This window comes from Homo sapiens, chromosome 8 (assembly GCF_000001405.40).
Source record: "Homo sapiens chromosome 8, GRCh38.p14 Primary Assembly".
Classification (NCBI taxonomy): Eukaryota; Metazoa; Chordata; class Mammalia; order Primates; family Hominidae; genus Homo; species Homo sapiens.
The window spans coordinates 21,289,864-21,310,241 of record NC_000008.11 but is presented as its reverse complement, the minus strand read 5'-3'; the positions used below and the strand labels follow the sequence as shown (position 1 = coordinate 21,310,241).

Here is a 20,378-nt window from a genome sequence, read left to right as displayed (position 1 = left end):
GGTAACTTCCCAGGTGTTCTAAGCCCCTTCACTCCCCTGGGGAAAGGCACTGAGGCCTTTTTTTTTCTTTTTGTTTTAAAATCCTCAGCCCCAAGGGCAGTGCTATGCTCAGGGGATGGTCTGGGCTTCCGCCTCCAGAGCTGGTTCCCAGGTGAAGGTGACAGTGACTCCCCCAGGTCTGGCTGATTCCCTTTCTCTGCATCTGCACAGACAAAGGAATCTTGGCCGGGGGCTGGTTTTGTCAGGCCCTTTTTGCCAAAAAAAAAAAAAAAAAAAAAGACAAAAGAAATCTTAAGGCTGCACATGGCTTTTGGAGAGTCCGCTATCCCATCTTCACAGGTGGCGCCTGCAAAAGTCATCATCCTTTGTAAGGCTGCCATTGCAGAGGGTGAGATGCAGGAACAGAAGGGGAGGCTGAACCCCCAGCTTACCTCTGTCTTTCTGCTTTGTTCTGTTCTTCTTTCCTTCTCATTCTCCACTCCTGCCTGGAGTCTCATTCCCCTGTCTTGTCTGTTTATTCCTTCAATGAGCATCTCAACTCCTCAGCCACCCACCTCCTCCACTGCCATCACTTCCAACCCATCTCCTGCCAGTAGATGCCTTACTCCCAGCTCCCCCTGACCCACCCTCACCCCCATTCTTTGTACTCTGTACATTTACCACCCACTGGCAAACTCAAGCTTCCCTTAGTGTACCATCTCCCCATGCCCAACTGGCCATGCCCCTCAGTATAGAAGAAGAAACTGAGATGTTCTGATTACATTCACGGGCACTTCACCATGACTCCAAGGTCAGTTCCATTAGTTTCATTTTCCAGATGAGCAAACCGAGAGGGAGGGAGGCAGTCACTTTCCAAAGTCAACCCAGTTATCAACAACAGTCTGGGTTCTGTATCAAGAATTTCCTGGCCTGAGTTTAATGCCCTTTCCATTACATAACAGCTTCCAAGGGCCAGGGAGATAATATGGCTGGGATGGTCATGAGCTTTCACTTAGAAACAAAAAGTGAAAGACTGCCCGGAGGAGCAATTTCTGTCTGTGACTTAGTAATATATTATGAGCATTCTCTCCCAGGCTGGGCCTTTTCTTGCCCACTGGGTATTCCCCTCAGGGGCAGCAGGGGATGAGGGGAGCAGAGGCCTCTACTACCCTACTTTACCGTGGCACAGTGGGGAGTACCAGCTGTTAGACAAGGGAGCGCGGATGACCTGGCCAGCAAGCACCTCAATTAGCAAATGCATTTTGGTTGTTGAATTCATTAGTGCAGATTAATTGAAAATGAGAGGTGGGGCTGGGTAGAATAGCTTAATCGCACAATTGGAAAAGCCAACCTCCTGGCCTGAGAGGTGCAGGCAGCTCCTGAGGCTGCATTCTAAAACCCTGTTTTCTCCTCCTCAGTCTCCTCCTGAATTCATGAACCTAAAGTTTTGCCAGCCCAGCAGAAAGGCTCTTCCTTTAATGCCTTTCTTCTTGAGAGTTTGGCCACTTAAACCAGGCCCCCTTGAAAGTGGGCTCTGTTTGAGCCCAGCTTTCATTTCCGAAAACCCATTTTAAGTGGCTTCTGTGCTTGCATGGCACTTAACACTTGCATTAATGACTTGTGTCATCACAGGCACCCTGTCTTACAAGCAGCATGGCTTGGCCCACCTTGAGCATGGAATCAGAGATGTGGAAATGTTACATGCTTACATCAGAAAGAACAAGGACATTAACACCCACCAATATAGGTTTGAATCTTAGGTCTGTTGCCTACACACTGTGAGATCTTTCTTCTTGGAGCATCAGTTCTTAATTGTAAATGGAGATGATAATGTGTAACTTTAGAATTATCTTTGGGATTATGAGAAAGAAATAAGACAACAGATGTGAATTGTGAAATCTGTAGTCCTCCAATTGGCATATAATAGATCTCAGCAAATGCGTCTTCTCTTCCTCCTACCCCTTTTGGCCCAAAACAGGTTTGCAAATACATTTAAATATTACACCTTCCAACTCAGGTTACATTCTCCCCTTGTTCTGTCTTCACTCCTTCCTGCTTTTTCCTGTCAATGCATACAATTCAAATGCCTTAGGAACGGTGGCCAATTGTGACAGCTTGACTCCATGACTTTGTTATTTATGGTGAACTTTACCCTGCAATTTAAGAAATAGATTCATAGGAAGTGGCAGCATTGTTCCAGGGTCCCATGGCCTCACATTGACAGAAATCCACATTCCGTGACACTAGGTGCTAATTACTTTATAAGAGTTACCTGACTCCTGACCATGTTTTTTTTGGGGGAGGTATATGTTAATTTAAGCACTGCTTAATCTTCTGTAATAGAACAACACTGTGGCTTAATACAATACCTCCTTATTTCTTGCAAAGGAAAAGTCCAGCCTTTGGGGACTGGGTCAGGAGGTTCTTTTCCATGCATTAGGGACTTGGCTGAGGAGGATCACTCAGTGTTAACACATGGCTTCCAAGGTGGCCCTAGGTGTGGAAAAAAAGGTTGTCAAAAAGGGAAGAGAGAGAAAGAGGAATAACTTTGGCGTTTCTTAAAATTTTTGTTTTATTTCCCATCCTGCTTAAGTTATCCTTTCTTCTTCTTCCTATTGCTTTGGTCAAAACTCAGGAACGTGGCGACGCCCAACTGCAGGGGAAGCTGGGAAATGTAGTCTACTCCCAATAAGAGTGGAAGGGGTTTGGTGAACAGCTAGCCAAGTCTCTATCAAAGGGAGGTATTCATATCCACATTTTACAGGTGTGAAAATGAGTGGGTACCAAAAGCAAACAAGGGCCCATTTCTGAATTTGGGCACTTTTTCCATTTCTTTTCAACCTTCTAGAATTATGTTTCTAAATTTCCAAGTACACATCTGAAATAACATATTTTTACTAAATAAAAAGATCACATTCAGGCAAAAGTTAAATCAGAAAAAGTTAATTATAGTGATTCTTCTCAAGATAGAATATGTGTTAATAAACAAGTGGATGTAAGACCATAGACTTAGCGTGGTATACCCAAACTATTAGTTTTTGCTTATTAGTAAGATATTTTAAATGTTTTACTATTGAAAAAAAAACCTGAATATATATATAGAGGAATCCAAAATTGGTCTGAAATTTTAAGGTTAAAAATGGCACTTCAAATAAAAAACGTGCTTGCAGTGGGCACTGCCAGACCCTTGGACACCTAGGAGTTCAAGATCACTCTTTTTAGTTTTAGTGATGGGAAGATTTAAGATAGTTTAGATTTTTTTAATGAAAAAATTACGTGATACATTTATGTGTAATTTCTGAGTAATCTTTACTGTAATTATTCTAAGTATCAACTTATGTTTTGGAACTCACACAAAACTTTATTTTAGTTGTTTATGTTCTACCCATTTCTGGACCTCAGCTTTGTGAGTTTGGGGATTCTAAAGACTCAAAGCATATCTCAGCTGACAGATTACCTCCTCCTTCAGGGATAGTGTGTTCCTTCCCCAAATCGGAGAATATCCTGTTTTATTTCTATTTTTTTCTTTTCTTTTCTTTTTTTTTTTTTTTTGAGACGGAGTCTCGCTCAGTCACCCAGGCTGGAGTGCAATGGCATGATCTCGGCTCACTGAAACTTCCACCTCCCGTGTTCAAGAGATTCTCCTGCCTCAGCCTCTTGAGTAGGTGGGTTTACAGGCATGTGCCACCACACCTGGCTAATTTTGTATTTTTTAGTAGATATAGGGTTTCTCCATGTTGTTCAGGCTGGTCTCGAACTTCTGACCTCAGGTAATCCACCCATCTCGGCCTTTCAAAGTTCTGGGATTACAGGTGTGAGCCACTGTGCCCAGCCTATCCTGTCTTATTTGTTTAGTTTGGAGCTACGTTCAGCTTTTTCTGAGTGAAAATCCTCTTTCTGCTCCACTGGGAATAATAAAACCTTGTATGCTTTTCTTACCATATCAAAAGAACATCACCCCAACTCCTCCTATCTGCTTTCTATATTGAGTTAACCAATTTAATCTGCATATAATGACTGAGGCTAATTAATAGTTTTCCCACAGCTGGTTCCCTCTAGAAACATTTAGCAACTGCCTTCTAGTAGAAGCTGCCCCAGAAAGAAGAGTTCAACTTAGCAATATCTCTTTATAATAGAACAGCGTGTTTTCACAGTAACTGCCTTTATCACCAAAGGCGAGAATGGCTCAGTGGTATTGTGGATCAGCAAACATCTGGACGTGTGACTCAGAAGATGGTGGTGAAAGTCCCTTCCCATCTATTATTTATTTCTTTACTTCCTGCTTATTTATTTCATTCCATTGTTCTTTTTCTTTTGCAACTTTTTCCTTACTCCTAAGTGACTTCGCATCTGATAATATCTCCACCGAATTGCATTTTAATGTTTTTCCTATTTTTAAACTCTCTGTGGACCTTAGGTCCACAGAATTGGATCAGTCCTATCCTTAGTACATCACTCAGTTTCATCATGGGGATTTATTTCATTATTTTTAATAATATAATGAGCACTCGCAAAACCATCAATGCAAATAAAAGCTCAGCCATTGATAATAAACCTAATCTAACCATAAGGGTACCTCCGCCCCTTCACTTTTTCTAGTTTCTTCCATCTGAGGCAAGTCTTATGCTGAATTTTGTATGCATCATGTTTTTGCTTTATTTAAAAAATGGTTTTATTTCACCTCTTTGTCGTCCTAAAAAGTCTATTTTGATTTTAGTTATTTTAGACCATAAAAATGATATGGAGATTTATGTAATCTTTGGGGGGTAACTTTCCCATTTAACATTAAATTGCTAAGATTTATCTCTATTTTCACAAATTATAGCTTATTCACTTCCTCTGTTTATAATATGCGATCATTTCACCCTTTTATACTTGGTTCATTCATTCTCCCATTGATGAGCATTTGGGTAGTTTCAACTTTTTTTGCTAAGATGAACAGTGACAATATGAATGTTTTTGTATCTATTTCCTATTGTATATGCTCATAAATTTCTTTTGAGTATTTAGTTAGGAGTGGAATTGCTGGGTTATAGGTTGTATAAATGACCAAATTTAGGAAATATCACCAAACTGTTGTTTAAAGTACTTGCACTTTGAAAAACCATTGATGGACAACCATTTATGCAATTTATTGCATCAGTCTCAGTTGCAATGTGATCCTATGAATTCACATCTTTTTTTATACTTGATTTTTCTAAACTTGTATGTATTTTGCCAGTTAATTAACTATAAAATGGTACCTCATAGTGGTCTTAGTATTCATTTCTATTATTAAATACATCTTATGATTTGTAGCCATGCATTTCTTCTGTGAAATGTCCATTTGTACATTTGTCTGTTTCTCTAACTGATCATTTGTACTTTTTCTATTGATTTGAAAGAATCTTATTTTCTATATGTAAAGTGTTTGTTGGAGCTGAATAATAGAAATATCTTCTCCCAATTTGTAAATTTTTTTCACTTTCCTTAAATAATATTTTGAAGAATATATATATTTTAAGATGGAGTCTCGCTCTGTCACCCAGGCTGGAGTGCAGTAGTGCGATCTCAGCTCACTGCAATCTCTGCCTCCTGGGTTCAGGTTGATTCTCCTACCTCAGCCTCTCAAGTAGCTGGGATTACAGGCACTCACCACCATGCCAGGTTAATTTTTGTATTTTTAGTAGAGATGAGGTTTCACCATGTTGGCCAGGTTGGTCTCAAACTCCTGACCTCAGGTGATCCACCCACCTCGGCCTCCCAAAGTGCTGGGAATATAGGCGTGAGCCACTGGGCCCGGCCTATTTTGCTTATTTTCTGTTCAAATCTATCAGTTTCTCCATTTCTTTGCTTCTAGTAAAATATCTAATACAATTTAAAAATTATCCTTGTAGAATCTTGCATGTCTTTTGTTAAATACATTCTTAGCTATTCTCTGATACCATTATAAATGGTGTTCTGTGTTTATATTTTCCAGTTGTTTCTTGATGCATTATCAATTGATGTTATTATATATCCAGACACTTTGCTAAATACTCCCATTCTTGTCATTTATCCATATATTCTTGCAGGTTGTCCACTTAAAAAACTACATCCTCTACAAATCCTTATGAGTCTAATTTCTTTCTTGATTTATTTTGCTGTCTAAGATTTCCCCTGCAAGCTGGAGTATAAGTGGGAATTGTAATTATTCTACAATCTACAGATATAGGATCATATTTTACCTAGATTTTAAAACAGATATTCTTCATAAGAAAGTTTTTGTTTACTACGAATTTAATGATAATTTATTATGAGTGGATGTTGAGTTTTATGGAATTATTTTCCTGTATTAACTAAAAAATTTTATATGTATTCCTATTAATATCTTAATGTGGTGAATTATATTTCTTAATTTTCAAAGTATTAAATCATTATTGCATACATGGGATAACATCAGTTTGGTCAAAGTGTATTTTCTTTTAAATATGTTTTTAGGTTACTTGGACTTTTTAAATATTTTAAAAACTATTTGCATTCATATTAAAAATGGAATGGCATGACATTTTTGCTTTCTGTGGTTTTAGTATTTGGGCTATTCTGAACTCATAAATAAGCTGGGGAACATGCCCCCTTTCCTATTTTTTGCAAGTATTTGAAAAACTCAAAATTGTTTATTTCTTAAAAATTTAGAAAAATATTAATAGTCAAATATTTTATTTGTGGGAAGATTTTAAGACACAGTTTTAATTTCTTTAATAGTTCTAAGGCTGTTTAATGTTTTAATGTCTTTTTGAGTTGTTCTAGTTCATTACTTTTTTTGTAAGAGTTTATTCACTTCATCTAAGTTTTCAAAATTACTGGCAAGCAGTTGTTGGTAGTATTATTTTATTATCACTTACATTTTTTCCTAATTTTTTTTATTGTGGCAAAATACACATAACATAAAATTTACCATCTTAATCATTTTAAGTGTACAGCTTAGCAGTATTAAATACATTTATAATGCTGTGCAAACATTACCAGCATCCATCTCCCATAGTTCTTTTCATCTTGTAAAACAGAAACTCTGTACTCATTAAACAATAAGTCCCTATTCCCCTCTCCCTCAGCCACTGGCAACCACCATTATACTTTCTGTCTCTGTGATTTTGACTACTCTAAGTATCTCATATAAGTGGAATCATATAATATTGGTTTTTTCGTGACTGCCTTATTTCATTTAGCATAATGTCCTTGAGGTTCCTCAATGTTGTAGCATATGTCAGAATTTCTTTCCTTTCTGAGGCTGAATAATTGATTATGTGTATATACCACAATTTGTTTATGCATTCATCTGTTGATGGACATTGGGTTGCTTCTGTGTTTTAGCTGTTTTGGGTAGTGCTGCTATGAACATGGGCATGTCATTTAATCTCTTTATCTCAAGTACTTTTTTGCAGATTCTCCCCTTTTTTAGTCGCAATATTTTTCACTTGTGGTTTCTTTCATTTTCTTGTTAGTTTTCAGAGGCTTCTCAAGTTTTTTGTTTTTGACAAATCAACTTTGGCTTTGCTGACATCCTGTATTATACGTTTGTTTCCTATTTTGTTAACTTCCATTAGTATTTTTATTATCTCTTCCATTTTATTTATTATTTTTGGCTTATTGTTTTGTTCATTGAAATAACAAACAATTAGCTCATTAATTTGAGGTTTCATTATTTTCCAACACAGGTGTTTACATCTTGAATTACTATTTTGGCTGTACCCTAAGGTTTTGATTATCATTATCATATGTTATCAATTGTTAATACATTATCAATTATTTTCATTGTCATTCAATTCTGAATCATTAAACATTTTATTATGAAACAGATGCAAAAATCCTCAACAAAATACTAGCAAACCAAATTCAACAAGACATTGAAATGATCATTCACCATGATCAAAGGAGATTTATCCCTGGGATGTAAGCATAGTTCAACATAGGCAATTCAGTAAATGTGATACATCACATTAACAGAATGAAGGACAAATACCATATGATCATCTCATTAGATGCAGAAAAGCATTTGAAAACATCTAATACCCTTTTATGACAAAAACTCTCAATAAATAAGGTATAGAAGGAATGCACCTTAACACAATAAAAACCATGTGGGGCAGGTTCACACCAAACATTGTACTCAATGGTGAAAAATTGAAACCTTTTCTTCTAAGATCTGGAACAAGACAAACATTCCCACTCCTTCTTGCCACTTCTACTCAGCAAAGTATTGGAAGTCCTTGCCAGAGCAGTTAGTCAAGAGATAAAAGTAAAATGCATCTAAATAGGAAAGAAAGATGTGAAAGTGTCACCGTTTGTTGATATGGTCTTATATATAGAAAACCCTAAAGATTGTACCAAAAAAACCCACAAAAAAACGGATAGAACTAATAAACAAAGACAGTAAAATTGCAGGATTCAAAATCAACAATAAAACAAGTAGCATTTCTATACAGTAACAATGAACTGTCTGAAAAAGAAATCAAGAGAACAGTTCCATTTACAATAGCTTTAAAAAATACTTAGAAAAATAAATTTAACCAAGGAGGTGAATGACTACAAAATGTTATTGTAAGAAATTCACAAAGATGGGGATATATTCTGAGAAATGCATGGTTAGGCAATTATATCGTGTGAACATCATAGAGTGCACTTACACAAATCTAGGTGGCATAGTCCACTACATACCCAGGCTATATGATAACAGCCCATAGTTCTCAGGCGACACACCTGTGCATCATGCTACTGTACCAATTACTGCAGGCAATTGTAACACAGTTGTAAGTATTTACGTATCTAAGCATATCTTAACATACAAAAGGTACAGAAAAAATATAGTATTATAAACTTATGGGACCACCGTCATATGTTTGGTCCTTTATTGACCTAAACATCACTATGTGGTACATGACTCTACTTCAGGTGATAGGTACATGTTAATTAGATTGATTTAATTATTGCACATGGTATTCATAAATAATAACATCATTTTGTACCCCATAGATACACACAACTATAATTTGTCAATTTACAATTAAAAGATAAAAATATAAAAACTTACATAAGACATAATTTTTACTACAATTTCTTCTTTAACTTATTAACTAAGCACAATGCATTTCTGAATTTTCAAATTTCGGGAAATTTATTTTTTTTGTTTATATTTAACATAAATAAGCTACGATCAGAAACCCAGGTCTGTATGATACAGTTTGAAATTTGTTGAGGGTTTTCATGTGTGCCTAGGAAATTTACAAATTTCGTTTGTAAATTTTTATAATTTCCACATATATAATTAGGGAGTGTCATGCCCTCATATTCAAAAGACTCTTTGGCTAAATATAATACTCAAAATTTTATGGTTATTTTTCTGAATACTTTGAAATTATTACTCTATTACTCATAATTTTATAAATATTTTATATAAGCTTGAAAATGTACATTATAAAGTTGTTGAAGACACTACATATGTCCATTAAGTCAAGTTCTTTGTGTTGTACATATTATCTTTATTCTGGATAATCTTCCGTTATTTCACCTATCAAGTAGAGAGGTATGTTGAAATTTCCTACCATAATGGTGATTTAATCAAAAACTTTTTAGCAGTTTTATCACTTTTTCTTTGTATACTTTGAGAATATTAAAGCAATAAAGTTTTAAGAATTGCTAAATGGTTTTGGTGTATCAAAACTTTTAATCACTATGAAATAGCTCTCATCACTAATAACTTTTTTCTAGTAATCTTGTTTAAATCATATTAAAATATCTATATAATCTTTCTTTAGATTTTTCCTGATACATTTTTCCATTCTTTTTCAACCATTTTTTTCTTTAGAATTTCTGTTTTAGACAACAGATGCCAGTATTGAAAAAATTCAACCTGCCAATTTTTGTTTAATAATTGTCTAAAATACATTTTAATTATTTACATATTTGGGCCTATTTATAAAATTTTGATATTTCAATCTGTCCTGTATTTTCTGCTTACAAAAGATTTCATCACCTTACTTCACTCCTCTTTTGCAACATCTGGAATTTTCTCTCCTTTATTTAGGAAGTTTGTTCAGAACTGTTTTCAGTGTGGGTCTTTCTACAGTCATTTATCTGAGCCTTTGCCTGCCTAGAATATTATTTGTCATGCCATCATATTCAAAGGACTCTGGCCAAATATAATATTCTAAATGTTATGGTTATTTTTCTGAATACTTCGAAATTATTACTCTATTATCATCTTGGATTCAGTGTTGCTTTTTATAAAATCTGTTTCTTGTTTTTAGATTTTTGTTTTTTGAATGCTATATGCTCTTTTCCTTTGTAAATTTTTATAATTTCCACATATATAATTAGGGATATATCCTTAAACTTTTTAATAGTATGTCTGAATGTGGGCTTTTCCTTATCTCTTCCTTTATGGATTTTTTTTTATCTGAGATCTTTATTTAAAAGACAATTTTAGAAAATATAGCTCACTATTCAAATATTCAAATATTTTCTCTTTTCTATTTGTTTCTCTCTCTTTCTGGTACTTCTTTTTAATTGAAATTTCAGCACTTTAACTTCTATTCTCCATTTCTCTTAACTTCTTTTATATTTTCTATTAGTTTGCCTTTTCATTCTTCATTCATTCAGTCTGCTATCTCCTATCTTCTTTTATCTCTCTCTCTTTTTTTCTTTTGTGGGACCGAGTCTTGCACTGTGGCCTGGGCTGGAGTGCAGTGGTGCAATCTCGGCTCACTGCAACATCCACCTCCCAGGTTCACATGATTCTCCTGCCTAAGCCTCTCGAGTAGCTGGGATTGCAGGCACACACCAACACACCAGGCTCATTTTTTGTACTTTTAGTAGAGACAGGATTTCACCATGTTAGCCAGGGTGGTCTCAAACTCCTGGCCTCAAGTGATCTGCCCACCTCAGTTGCCTGAAGTGCTGGGATTACAGGCGTGAGCCACTGGGCCTGGCCTCTTTTATCTCTCTTAAGAAAAATTGTCTGAAACTTGGAACTAAGGCAAAGGAAAAGCGCAAGTCCTTTTAGTGTCATACTGGAGCATTGTTTAGTTCCGTTCAAAGATTATCTAACTCTTAGGATAATTGCTTTTGACTTATTCCTTATAACTGCTTAGGGCTCATATTGTGTGAAGCTACAGGTTAATCTGTCAATAATTGATACATAAAAACTAATTTCTGTCTAGTAGAAAAGAATACCTTAAAGGTTTTATTTTTGTTTTCTTTTGCTCTGTAAGACATTAACTGATTTGGTGTCTGATTTAGCAATCATATTCTAGTAATCTGTCTTCCATTGACTATACATATATACCCCATCTTTCAAATTCTCATTTGAACCAACTTTAGCATTCTTTTGGAGTTAAATCTGAGTTAAAATACATTTCACTATGATTTGTATGAGAGTCATATCTTTAACTGTTTGAAAATTATTCTTTGCAACCTCCTTTTAAGTTTTTTTGGCTAATTTAAAATGATTGGCTTTCTAATTATTTTGCTTCTAATTATTTTACTTCCAGTGCACACAATAACCTAACATGTTTTTGTTTTGAAATGATTGGGCCTTACAATGTCTTTTTATTTTGACATACATGCCTTTCCCTCACCAACAGAGATACTGGGTATTTTGTAAGGAAATGAGTATTCAGGGAAATAGACCCTGTAACTGTGAGTCCCTGTGAGCTTAGTGTGGATGTAATGGAGAAGATATGCCTGGGGAGGACTGTCCAGCACCAGAGAGCTGGAGTGACACCTCCACCCCGGCCCCTAAATAACTCCTCAAGTCACCCTGTCACCTTCTTCTGTCCTTACGCTGGGGAGAAGCAGTATCAGGAGGGAACCCTCCTTACATTTGCATCCTGACTCACCTGCACTGAGGGTTTAGATGAGGAGGGTAGCAGAGACTGATTTTACCTAGATCCACCTGTTTTCGTCAGTCTGTCTCAAGCATAGGGCCTCTGGGATGCCATCACTTGCTTCCTGAAGGTGCTGGATTCAGAGCTTGAGTCCTTCCAGGTGTGGGGGCCATCGCTGTATGTCCCAGGAGGATGCTGGGGGAGAGGGAGCAACAGAACTTTAACGGTTCGTTTTCTTCTTCCCCGCTCCCCACAGCCCTCTCTGGTCCTCTTGTGCCCTGTTTCTCCTCTGCAGCTCCTCCAGGGTTGATCTTAGGGAGGGATCCAGATGTCCTAATGGTTTACCATCTTGGAAGGAATGACAATCAGCACTGGCACCTCAAAGTGGGATCCTGCGGCCCACTGCCTTCATGGGCAGATATTCCTAAGATACGACTTATCCCCGGGTCCTGGGATTCGGGTGTGCTGTCATAGCCTTGCCTATTGCTTTACTCCTGGTGCCTTGTGAGACCTCCACTGTGCCGAGTTGTTCCCCCAGCTCTGGCTGTAGGGGAAGGAACACTGCTCTCCACTAGTCCAGTTTGTCTCCAAGGTGGTGCAGTTTCTGTCTTGAATTTCCCACACCACAATGATAGCACGTTGAATGGACCTGCCTCAAAAAAAATCATGTCCGACTGGAATCTGTGAGTGTGACCTTTGGAAATAGGATCCTTGCAAAGTAATGAAATTAAGCATCTCAAGATGAGATCATCCTAGATTACCAGGGTGCACTCTAATTCCAGTGACGGTGTTCACATAGGAGAAGAAGAGGGAAAACAGGCACGGAGGCAAGGCCACGTGGAGACAGACAGCGTAGAGTGATGCTGCCACAAGCCAAGAACACAGGGGCCTAAAGCGGGAGACAGAAAGAAGGATTCTCCCCAAGCCGTTGTAATAAGCACAGTCCTGCCGACATCTTGATTTTAGCTTTTGGCCTCCAGCACTGCGAGATAACAAATTTCTGTTGTGTTAAGACAAGTTTGTGAATCTGTTCAGCAGTCATTGGAAACTAACTCAAATAAGAAAGACCAGGCTGTAACCTTTAAGTGTCTTTAGTAAAAGCCTGAGGATAGGCCCAGCGCGGTGGCTCACGCCTACAGTCTCAGCACTTTGCGAGGCCGAGGAGTTGGGCAGATCACCTGAGGTTGGGAGATTGAGACAAGCCTGGCCAACGTGGTGAAACCCTGCCTCTATTAAAAATACAAACAATAGCCGGGAGTGGTTGTGCACTCCTGTAATTCCAGCTACTCAGAGGCTATTGCACAAGAATCGCTTGAACCTGGGAGGCGGAGGTTGCAGTGAGTCGAGACCACGGCACTGCACTCCAGCCTGGGCAACAGAGTGAGACTCCGTTTCGGGGTTTGAGGGGGAAGTCTACGGATAATGGAAGGAAGAAGAGTATGGAGAATAATTTGTAAGCACAAAATAGGCCCAGAGCCATCCTGGGACCCTCCCAGGACTGTCCCACACCAGGGATACTTCCTGCCTCCCTGTGGCCAGAGCGGCATTTGGAAGTTGTCGGGGTGTGGAGATACTGGCCCAATTTCTACCCCTCAGCCTAGAGAGAGGAGGAAGTTCTTTTGCTCACAGCTGACCAAGACTGGCCTTTCAACCCCTCCCAGTCCCAGGATTGACCTTTCCCTTGTTTCAAGAGAAGCTTACTCCCACCTGCAAGCTCTGAGCTCCAATACAACCAATCATCAAATTACCCAAAGGTAGGGTTTTCTAGCCTAAATAGGGGCACAACACCCTGTCCAGGTGAAGCAGCTCCAAGTCAGCCCACTGCAGTTTGAATTTCCAGGTTTCAAAAAAAAAAAATCTCAAAATTGGTGTCACTTGGGTTCATCTTGTTATACTGAGTTCATCTTAAAATGCTTGAAACCTGAGTTTGTAGGAATAGATGCTCTTCGTGAAATCAGTTTTGCTAACAATTACAGCTACGTGAAGTCAGTGCATGAGTGAAGACTTGGAGGGAATCCAAGAATTGCTAATGATTTTGTTAGGCTGGGAAGAGTACGTTAGGTTTAAGGTGATATTACAGGTGAGAGTTTTGGTGTTTATCCTGTCTTGACTTTTAGAGTGCACAATGTTGTTTTTATGGTAAATAAGTATAGACAAAGTTCTGGTGCCGTAAGAAAATTTAGGGGGAAAATATCAGTTTCTAGGGACCAGTTTCTCTGCTGAGAGAAACTTACAGTTTATGTGCATTTCAAATAGTTAATCTGTTGGGGAGGAGAAATGCTTTTCTCTCTTGTTCATAAAGAGGAAACATTTTTTCCCAAATAATTAAAAAAATCGGTCATGAAGAATCCAGGCTGGGTGAGATGAGGGAGGGAGGGAGAGGGAGAGTGAGAGCTGGGGGGAGAGGGAGAGTGAGAGCTGGGGGGAGAGGGAAAGAGGGGAAGAGGGAGAGGGAGACAGAGAGAAGGGAGAGGGAGGGAGAGAGGGGGAAAGAAGGGGGGAAGAGAAAGGGAAATAAAGTGGAGGGAAAAAGGGAGAGGAGAGAAAAAGGGGGGAGATACAGACAGGGAAAGAAAGAGGGGAGAGAAAGGAGAAATTAGAGGAGAGAGAAGGAGAGAAAGGAGCGGGGAGAGATACAAAGGAGAGAGGGAGAGAGGAGCGGGGGAAAGAAAGCGGGTAGAGAGAGAGGGAAATAGAGAGCAGGGAGAAAGGGAGAGAAGGAGATAGACTGGGGAGAGACCCAGAGGAGAGATGAGAGAAAGGGGATTAGGAGAGGGAGGAGGAGAGGGAAAGGAAAGAAAGAAGGGGGAAAAACCGGGAGAAAAAGGGAAAGAGAAGGGATAGGGGAAAGAGGAGAGAAAGAGCCGGGGGGAGAGGGGAGGGAGAGAGAAAAAGTGAGGAAGGAAAGAGACACAGGAGAGAGGAGAGGGAAAGAAGGAAAGAAACGGGGAAGAGAAGGAGGAAGAGTGGGGGGAGGGAGAAGGAGAAAAATGATGAGTAGGGGAGTGAGAAGGTGAAAAAAAGGAGAGTGAGAGAGGGCAGGTGAACACCAGGCCAGGGAATGGGGGGCAACACGAAGACAGCAGAGAGGGGCCAGGGGAGCACCCAGGTCGCAGCCTTTAATTGCCGCCCCTCCCCACCTTGGGCCAGGGCAGAGGAGGGCGGCAGCAGGAAGCTGTGCAGAGCCCAGCAGGAGGAACCTGGATGCCCCCAGGCACTGGGGCAGCGGCTATCCCCACCTGGAACACACTTCTTCATCTCCGCCTGTTGGCGTCCCAAGGGTCCGGTAAGGCTCGCCCCAAATGGTAGCTTTTCTATAAAATCTTTATTGATCAGCCCTCCCCAACACACACACATGTAGTTTGCAAGTTTCTTAAATATTTATTCTATTCTGGCCTGTATGTGCCTCCCTCTTTCCTTAGCCTCTCCTTTCAGACCCTCTGCAGGCTTCTAGTGTTGCCTTTTACAATCGTTCAGGGCAACAAATGTATGCATTTTCAGTGCCTACATTGCGTCTTCCATGTTGTCAAGAGGAATATGTTTATAACTAATTTGAAGCCCAGTGATGAAATGATAGTTAGATTATGCTGTGATAATAACAGAAATCAGTGAAAAGAACATCAAATTATACTTATCTCTTCATTTGTTAAGCACTAGGTTTAGTGTATATGTTTTAAAAATCAGTTACAACTTAGACAAAGCTGTATTTTATAGTCAAAAACAAAAAAGTACTTGCTGGGGACAAGTTGCTCACGCCAGTAATCTCAGCACTTTGGGAGGCTGAGGCAGGCAGATGACTTGAGGTCAGGAGTTCGAGACCATTGTGGCCAACATGGCAAAATATCCGTCTCTACTAAAAATTCAAAAATTAGCTGGGCATGGTGGCATATAATTGTAATCCCAGCTACTCAGGAGGTTGAGGTGGGAGAATTGCTTGAACCCAGGAGATGGAGGTTGCAATGAGTCAAGATCGCACCACCGCACTCCAGCCTGGGAGACAGAGCAAGACTCCATCTCAAAAAAAAAAAAACAAACAAAAAAAACTACCAACAAAAGATTGAAAAGCCATGCCACTCTTTATTATCCGTGCCTATCGTCAGAATCTGTTTAGGCCACATGGCTGTAATGTAGTCACCTCTACATGTGGATTGTGTTTTATTTTTTCGATTGCATATTCTTCTTCTATATATATATATATTTATTATACTTTAAGTGTTTTAATAACAGGCAATATGAGGGTGTGTTAAATGATCATAGAAAGCCTTAGTGTTATCATGTTCTGTTGAAAAATGCTGTTGTCTAAGGTTCATTTAAACTGGAAGGGCTCATGATTCTGTATTACTGTTATTTAGATAACAGTCATAACATTTGTTGTTGCTCCCTCAGTGTTAGATACTGTTCTGAATGCTTTGCGTGTGTTTGTTGGTTCCATTTTAATAACCACAGGAGGAAATTCAGTCCTTAGGGAGGGGCCACAACAGTTGCAGCCCTGATCCAAACCCATGCCATTTCCCTCCATGTCTTCAACGCGATGCTCTCCTGACTCATCATACCTTGTTTCGTTCCAAAAATGTTTTGAGGTGAATGACTTTTTACTATTAGGCTGGCGCAAACATAATTGCAGTTGTTGACGTTAGTTTTAAGGGCAAGACGCGCCATTACATTTGCACCAACCTGGCAATGACTAGCCAAGTGCAATGGCGTGTGCCTGTAGTCCCACTTACTCAGGAGGCTGAGATGAGGTGATGGCTTGAGCCCAGGAGTTTAAGATGACCAGACTGGGTAACATAGCGAGACACCATCAAAAAAAAAAAAAGACATGACAAAAAATTGAAAGCAATGAGCTATATGAAAACATGGAAACATGGTTCCTTCTCTATAAGCCTGTCTTTCTGAGAAGCTACGAGTTGTATGAAGGTAGCGCAGTAGGGGACAATGTGCAGAGGGCCTGCTTGAAGCAGCTCCATACTTAGCTGACTGTGTGACCTTGAGCGAGTCTCTGAACCTCTCTGAGCTTTATTTTCTCAACCTGTAAATGAGTGGTTGTAAGGATTGAATGAGTAAATATGTGTCAAGTATCCAGCACAGTGCCGAACACAGAGAGGACGATAGCCAGGTTTGTTGATGTTCAGTGAGTGCATTGAACTTCACTGTGCCCCAGAAATTCCACTGGGCTCTGGGGATGGAGCCCCTAATGCAGTGCTTGACCTAGTGTAGTTGATGAAATCATTTTAACAAAATGTAATAAAAAACAGTTTGGGAGAATTGAAGAAAGTGTACCTGTCTTGATCTGGATGGAAAGAACATTACAGTCGTGTGTCACCTAACAACATGGAGACGTTTTGAGAAATGCACTGTTAGGCGGTTTAGTCATTGTGCTAACACCATAGAGTGCACTTATTACACAAAGCTGGATAGAATGCCTACCACACATCTAGGCTATGTTGTAGGTGGTATAACCTATGGTATAGATGGTAAAACCTATTGCTCCTAGGCTATAAGCCCATACAGTATGCTACCATACTGAATACTGCAGGCAATTATAACACAATGATAATTATTTGATTGTCTAAATGTATCAAAACATAGAAAAGGTGGAGTAAAAATACAGTATAAAAGATAAGAGGCCTGGCACTGTGGCTCATGCCTGTCATCCCAGCACTTTGGGAGGACTAGGTGGGTGGATAACGAGGTCAAGATATCAAGACCGTCCTGGCCTATGTGGTGAAACCCTGTCTCCACTAAAAATACAAAATTAGTTGGGCGTGGTGGCACATGCCTGTAATCCCAGCTACTTGGGAGGCTGAGGCAGGAGAATGCCGTGAACCCGGAAGGCAGAGGTTGCAGTGAGCTGAGATTGCACCACTGCACTCCAGCCTGGGTGACACAGTGAGACTCCATTTCAAAAAAATAAAAATAATGGTACACCTGTATAGGGCAGTTACCAGAGTTTGCAAGACTGGAAGTTTCTCTGGGTGAGTCTGGGAGTGAGCAGTGAGTGAATGTGAAAGCCTAAGGCATTACTGTGCACTACTGTAGACTTTATAAACACTGTACACTCAAGCTACACTAAATTAAAAAAAAATTTTCAATAGGAAATTAACCTTAGCTTACTATAACTTTTTTACTCTATAAACTTTAAAAACAATTTAAACTTTCTGATTCTTTTACAATAATACTTAGCTTAAAACACACATTGTATAGATGTACAAAAATATTTTCTTTCTTTATATCATTATTCTATAAGCTTTTTTCCATTCTAAAAAGTTTTATTTTTTTAACTTTTAATTTATTTGTTTGTCTTTTTGAGATGGAGTCTCTCTCTGTCACCCAGGCTGGAGTGCAGTGGCATGATCTCAGCCCACTGTAACTTCTGCTTCCCGGGTTCAAGCAATTCTCCTGCCTCAGCCTCCCAAGTAGCTGGGATTACAGGCTCCTGCCACCATGCCCAGCTAATATTTCTGTATTTTTAGTAGAGACAAGGTTTCACCATGTTGTCCAGGCTGGTCTTGAACTCCTGACCTCAGGTGATCCACCCACCTTGGCCTCCTAAAGTGCTGGGATTACAGGCGTGGGACACCGTGTCTGGCCTTTCAAAAAACTTTTAAAACATTTTTGTTAAAAACTAAGACACAAACAAACACATTAGCCTAGGCCTATGCAGGGTCAGGATCATCAATATCACTGTCTTCCACCTCCATATCTTGTCCCAGTAGAAGGTCATTAGGGTCAATAACATGCATGGAGCTGTCATCTCCTATGACAAAGCCTTCTTCTGGATACCCATAGAAGGGCCTGCCTGAGGACATTATGCAGGTAAATATTTTAAGTAGAAGGAGTATACTACTCTTAAACAATAAAAAGTATAGTATAGTAAATCCATAAACCAGTGAATGATAATAGTCATTTATTAAGTATTACATACTGTACATAATCATATAAGCTAGACTTTTATATGACTGGCAGCACAGTAGGTTTGTTTACCTGAGCATTACCACAAACATGTAAGTAATGTGTTGTACTTTATGATGAGAACAGCAATGTTACTAGGCGATAGGAATTTTCCAGCTTCATTATAAACTTATGGGACCAATGTCATTTGTGTGGTCCATCATTAAGCAGAAGGTCATTATGTGGGGCATGACTGTCGTTGGCTGTACTTAGATGGAAGCAGATTTTATCTATGTGGTACAACTATCCATCTCATGTCTGGTTTTCTCTGTTACCAAGCCAAGGCAGATTTCAAAATTAGAGATTTATTAGTTTGGGTCAATCATTGAAATTTTTCCCCCATGGGCTTCTGTAAAATGATAAATTAACTTGGTGTTTGCATCAGTTTTCTAATGATATTTTGGTGGCATCTTGCATAGCAGAGCTTAGGGACTCACACCCAGAGATGTAATTAAGTAAGTCTGAATGGGGCCCAGAAACAGCTCAGCTGATTCTGAGGCTAGGGGCACGCAGGCAGTATACCCTAGGAGGCAACAGGCTGAGGGTTGTGGGAAAAATTGGTGGCCCTTTTCACCTGAGGAAAAAAAAGCTCATGAGGGAAGTAGGTTTATGAGCAAGAGCAGGGGCTATGGGGAAATGTCCATTGACCTTCTATCTATGGGCCACTTTTTTCCTTGGGTGGCTTCTCTATTCTTGTTGGGATGAAGTTCCCTTGGAGGATCCAGGACCCAGGGACCCCCGGGTCCCCATCTGCCTTCCAACCTGTTCTTTTCTGTGTTCTCTCTGAGCTCTGCCACCTCATGTCAGTCCCCAGCCATGTGGCTAATGAGAGGCCTATTCAGACCTCATTAGGAGATCAACTTGGTTTCTTCCGTTCTCAGAAGCTAATTATGTCTCTTTCATTAGTTCAATTTTGGCAATTAATGTACTTCCGTATACATAAATGGCTGTTTGTTTTCAGGCTAAGTGACATGTGTGCGGCTGTCCTTTCCTCTCCTGACACGTGTTAACCTTTCTGTCTTGTTTCCCTTTCCTTACAAACAGTACCTGAGCTGAGGTTCTAGATTTAAGCAACTGAAATTAACACAGCACATTTAATAGCGAAAAAGGACTTTGGTAGAAATACTGGCCAGCTCATGGGATCAGACGAAGTGCCCAAAACTTGATCCCCAGAAACGAGAGGAAACTCTGGGAGCCCAAAGTCCTCTGAAACAATAAGGGCATTTTAATCTCCCATTTAAAAGCATTGCCAGGCAGGGTGGCTGCAGAGTTGGTATAATCAGAAATCATGTTGTCATCTTAACACTGTGGCTCATTTTCTTACCTGCCCTCCTCACCGCCCCTTCCCCATGGTTCTCAGATGGGTCAGGTGGGCCGGGGATGATGTTCCAGCAACCACTTCCTGAAGCTGCAAAGAAGGTGTTAAGTTTAGTCTAAAGCTGCCTCCTGACATATTTTAAGTTTGGCCTAAAGGTTTCTCTGGCCATAGTGAGCCATGGTAATTTCCTCCACCATGTAGCTGGATGTGTAACTCAACCTAACTGGATGTGTAAACAGACTATAACCTCCTCTCCTACTCTCTGTCTGATTGCACAGAGTTTCAGC

General features: G+C 39.6%; 1 long non-coding RNA gene across 1 annotated transcript; it reads right to left on the bottom strand.

Moving 5' to 3' along the window:
* Positions 1–792: 792 nt before the first annotated feature.
* Positions 793–12,003, bottom strand: LINC03093 (long intergenic non-protein coding RNA 3093). Its single transcript, NR_104677.1, has 3 exons — positions 11,835–12,003; positions 2,349–2,472; positions 793–2,132 (listed from the first exon to the last, which is right to left on the bottom strand). It is a non-coding gene; the product is annotated as a long intergenic non-protein coding RNA 3093 (long non-coding RNA).
* Positions 12,004–20,378: the final 8,375 nt, after the last annotated feature.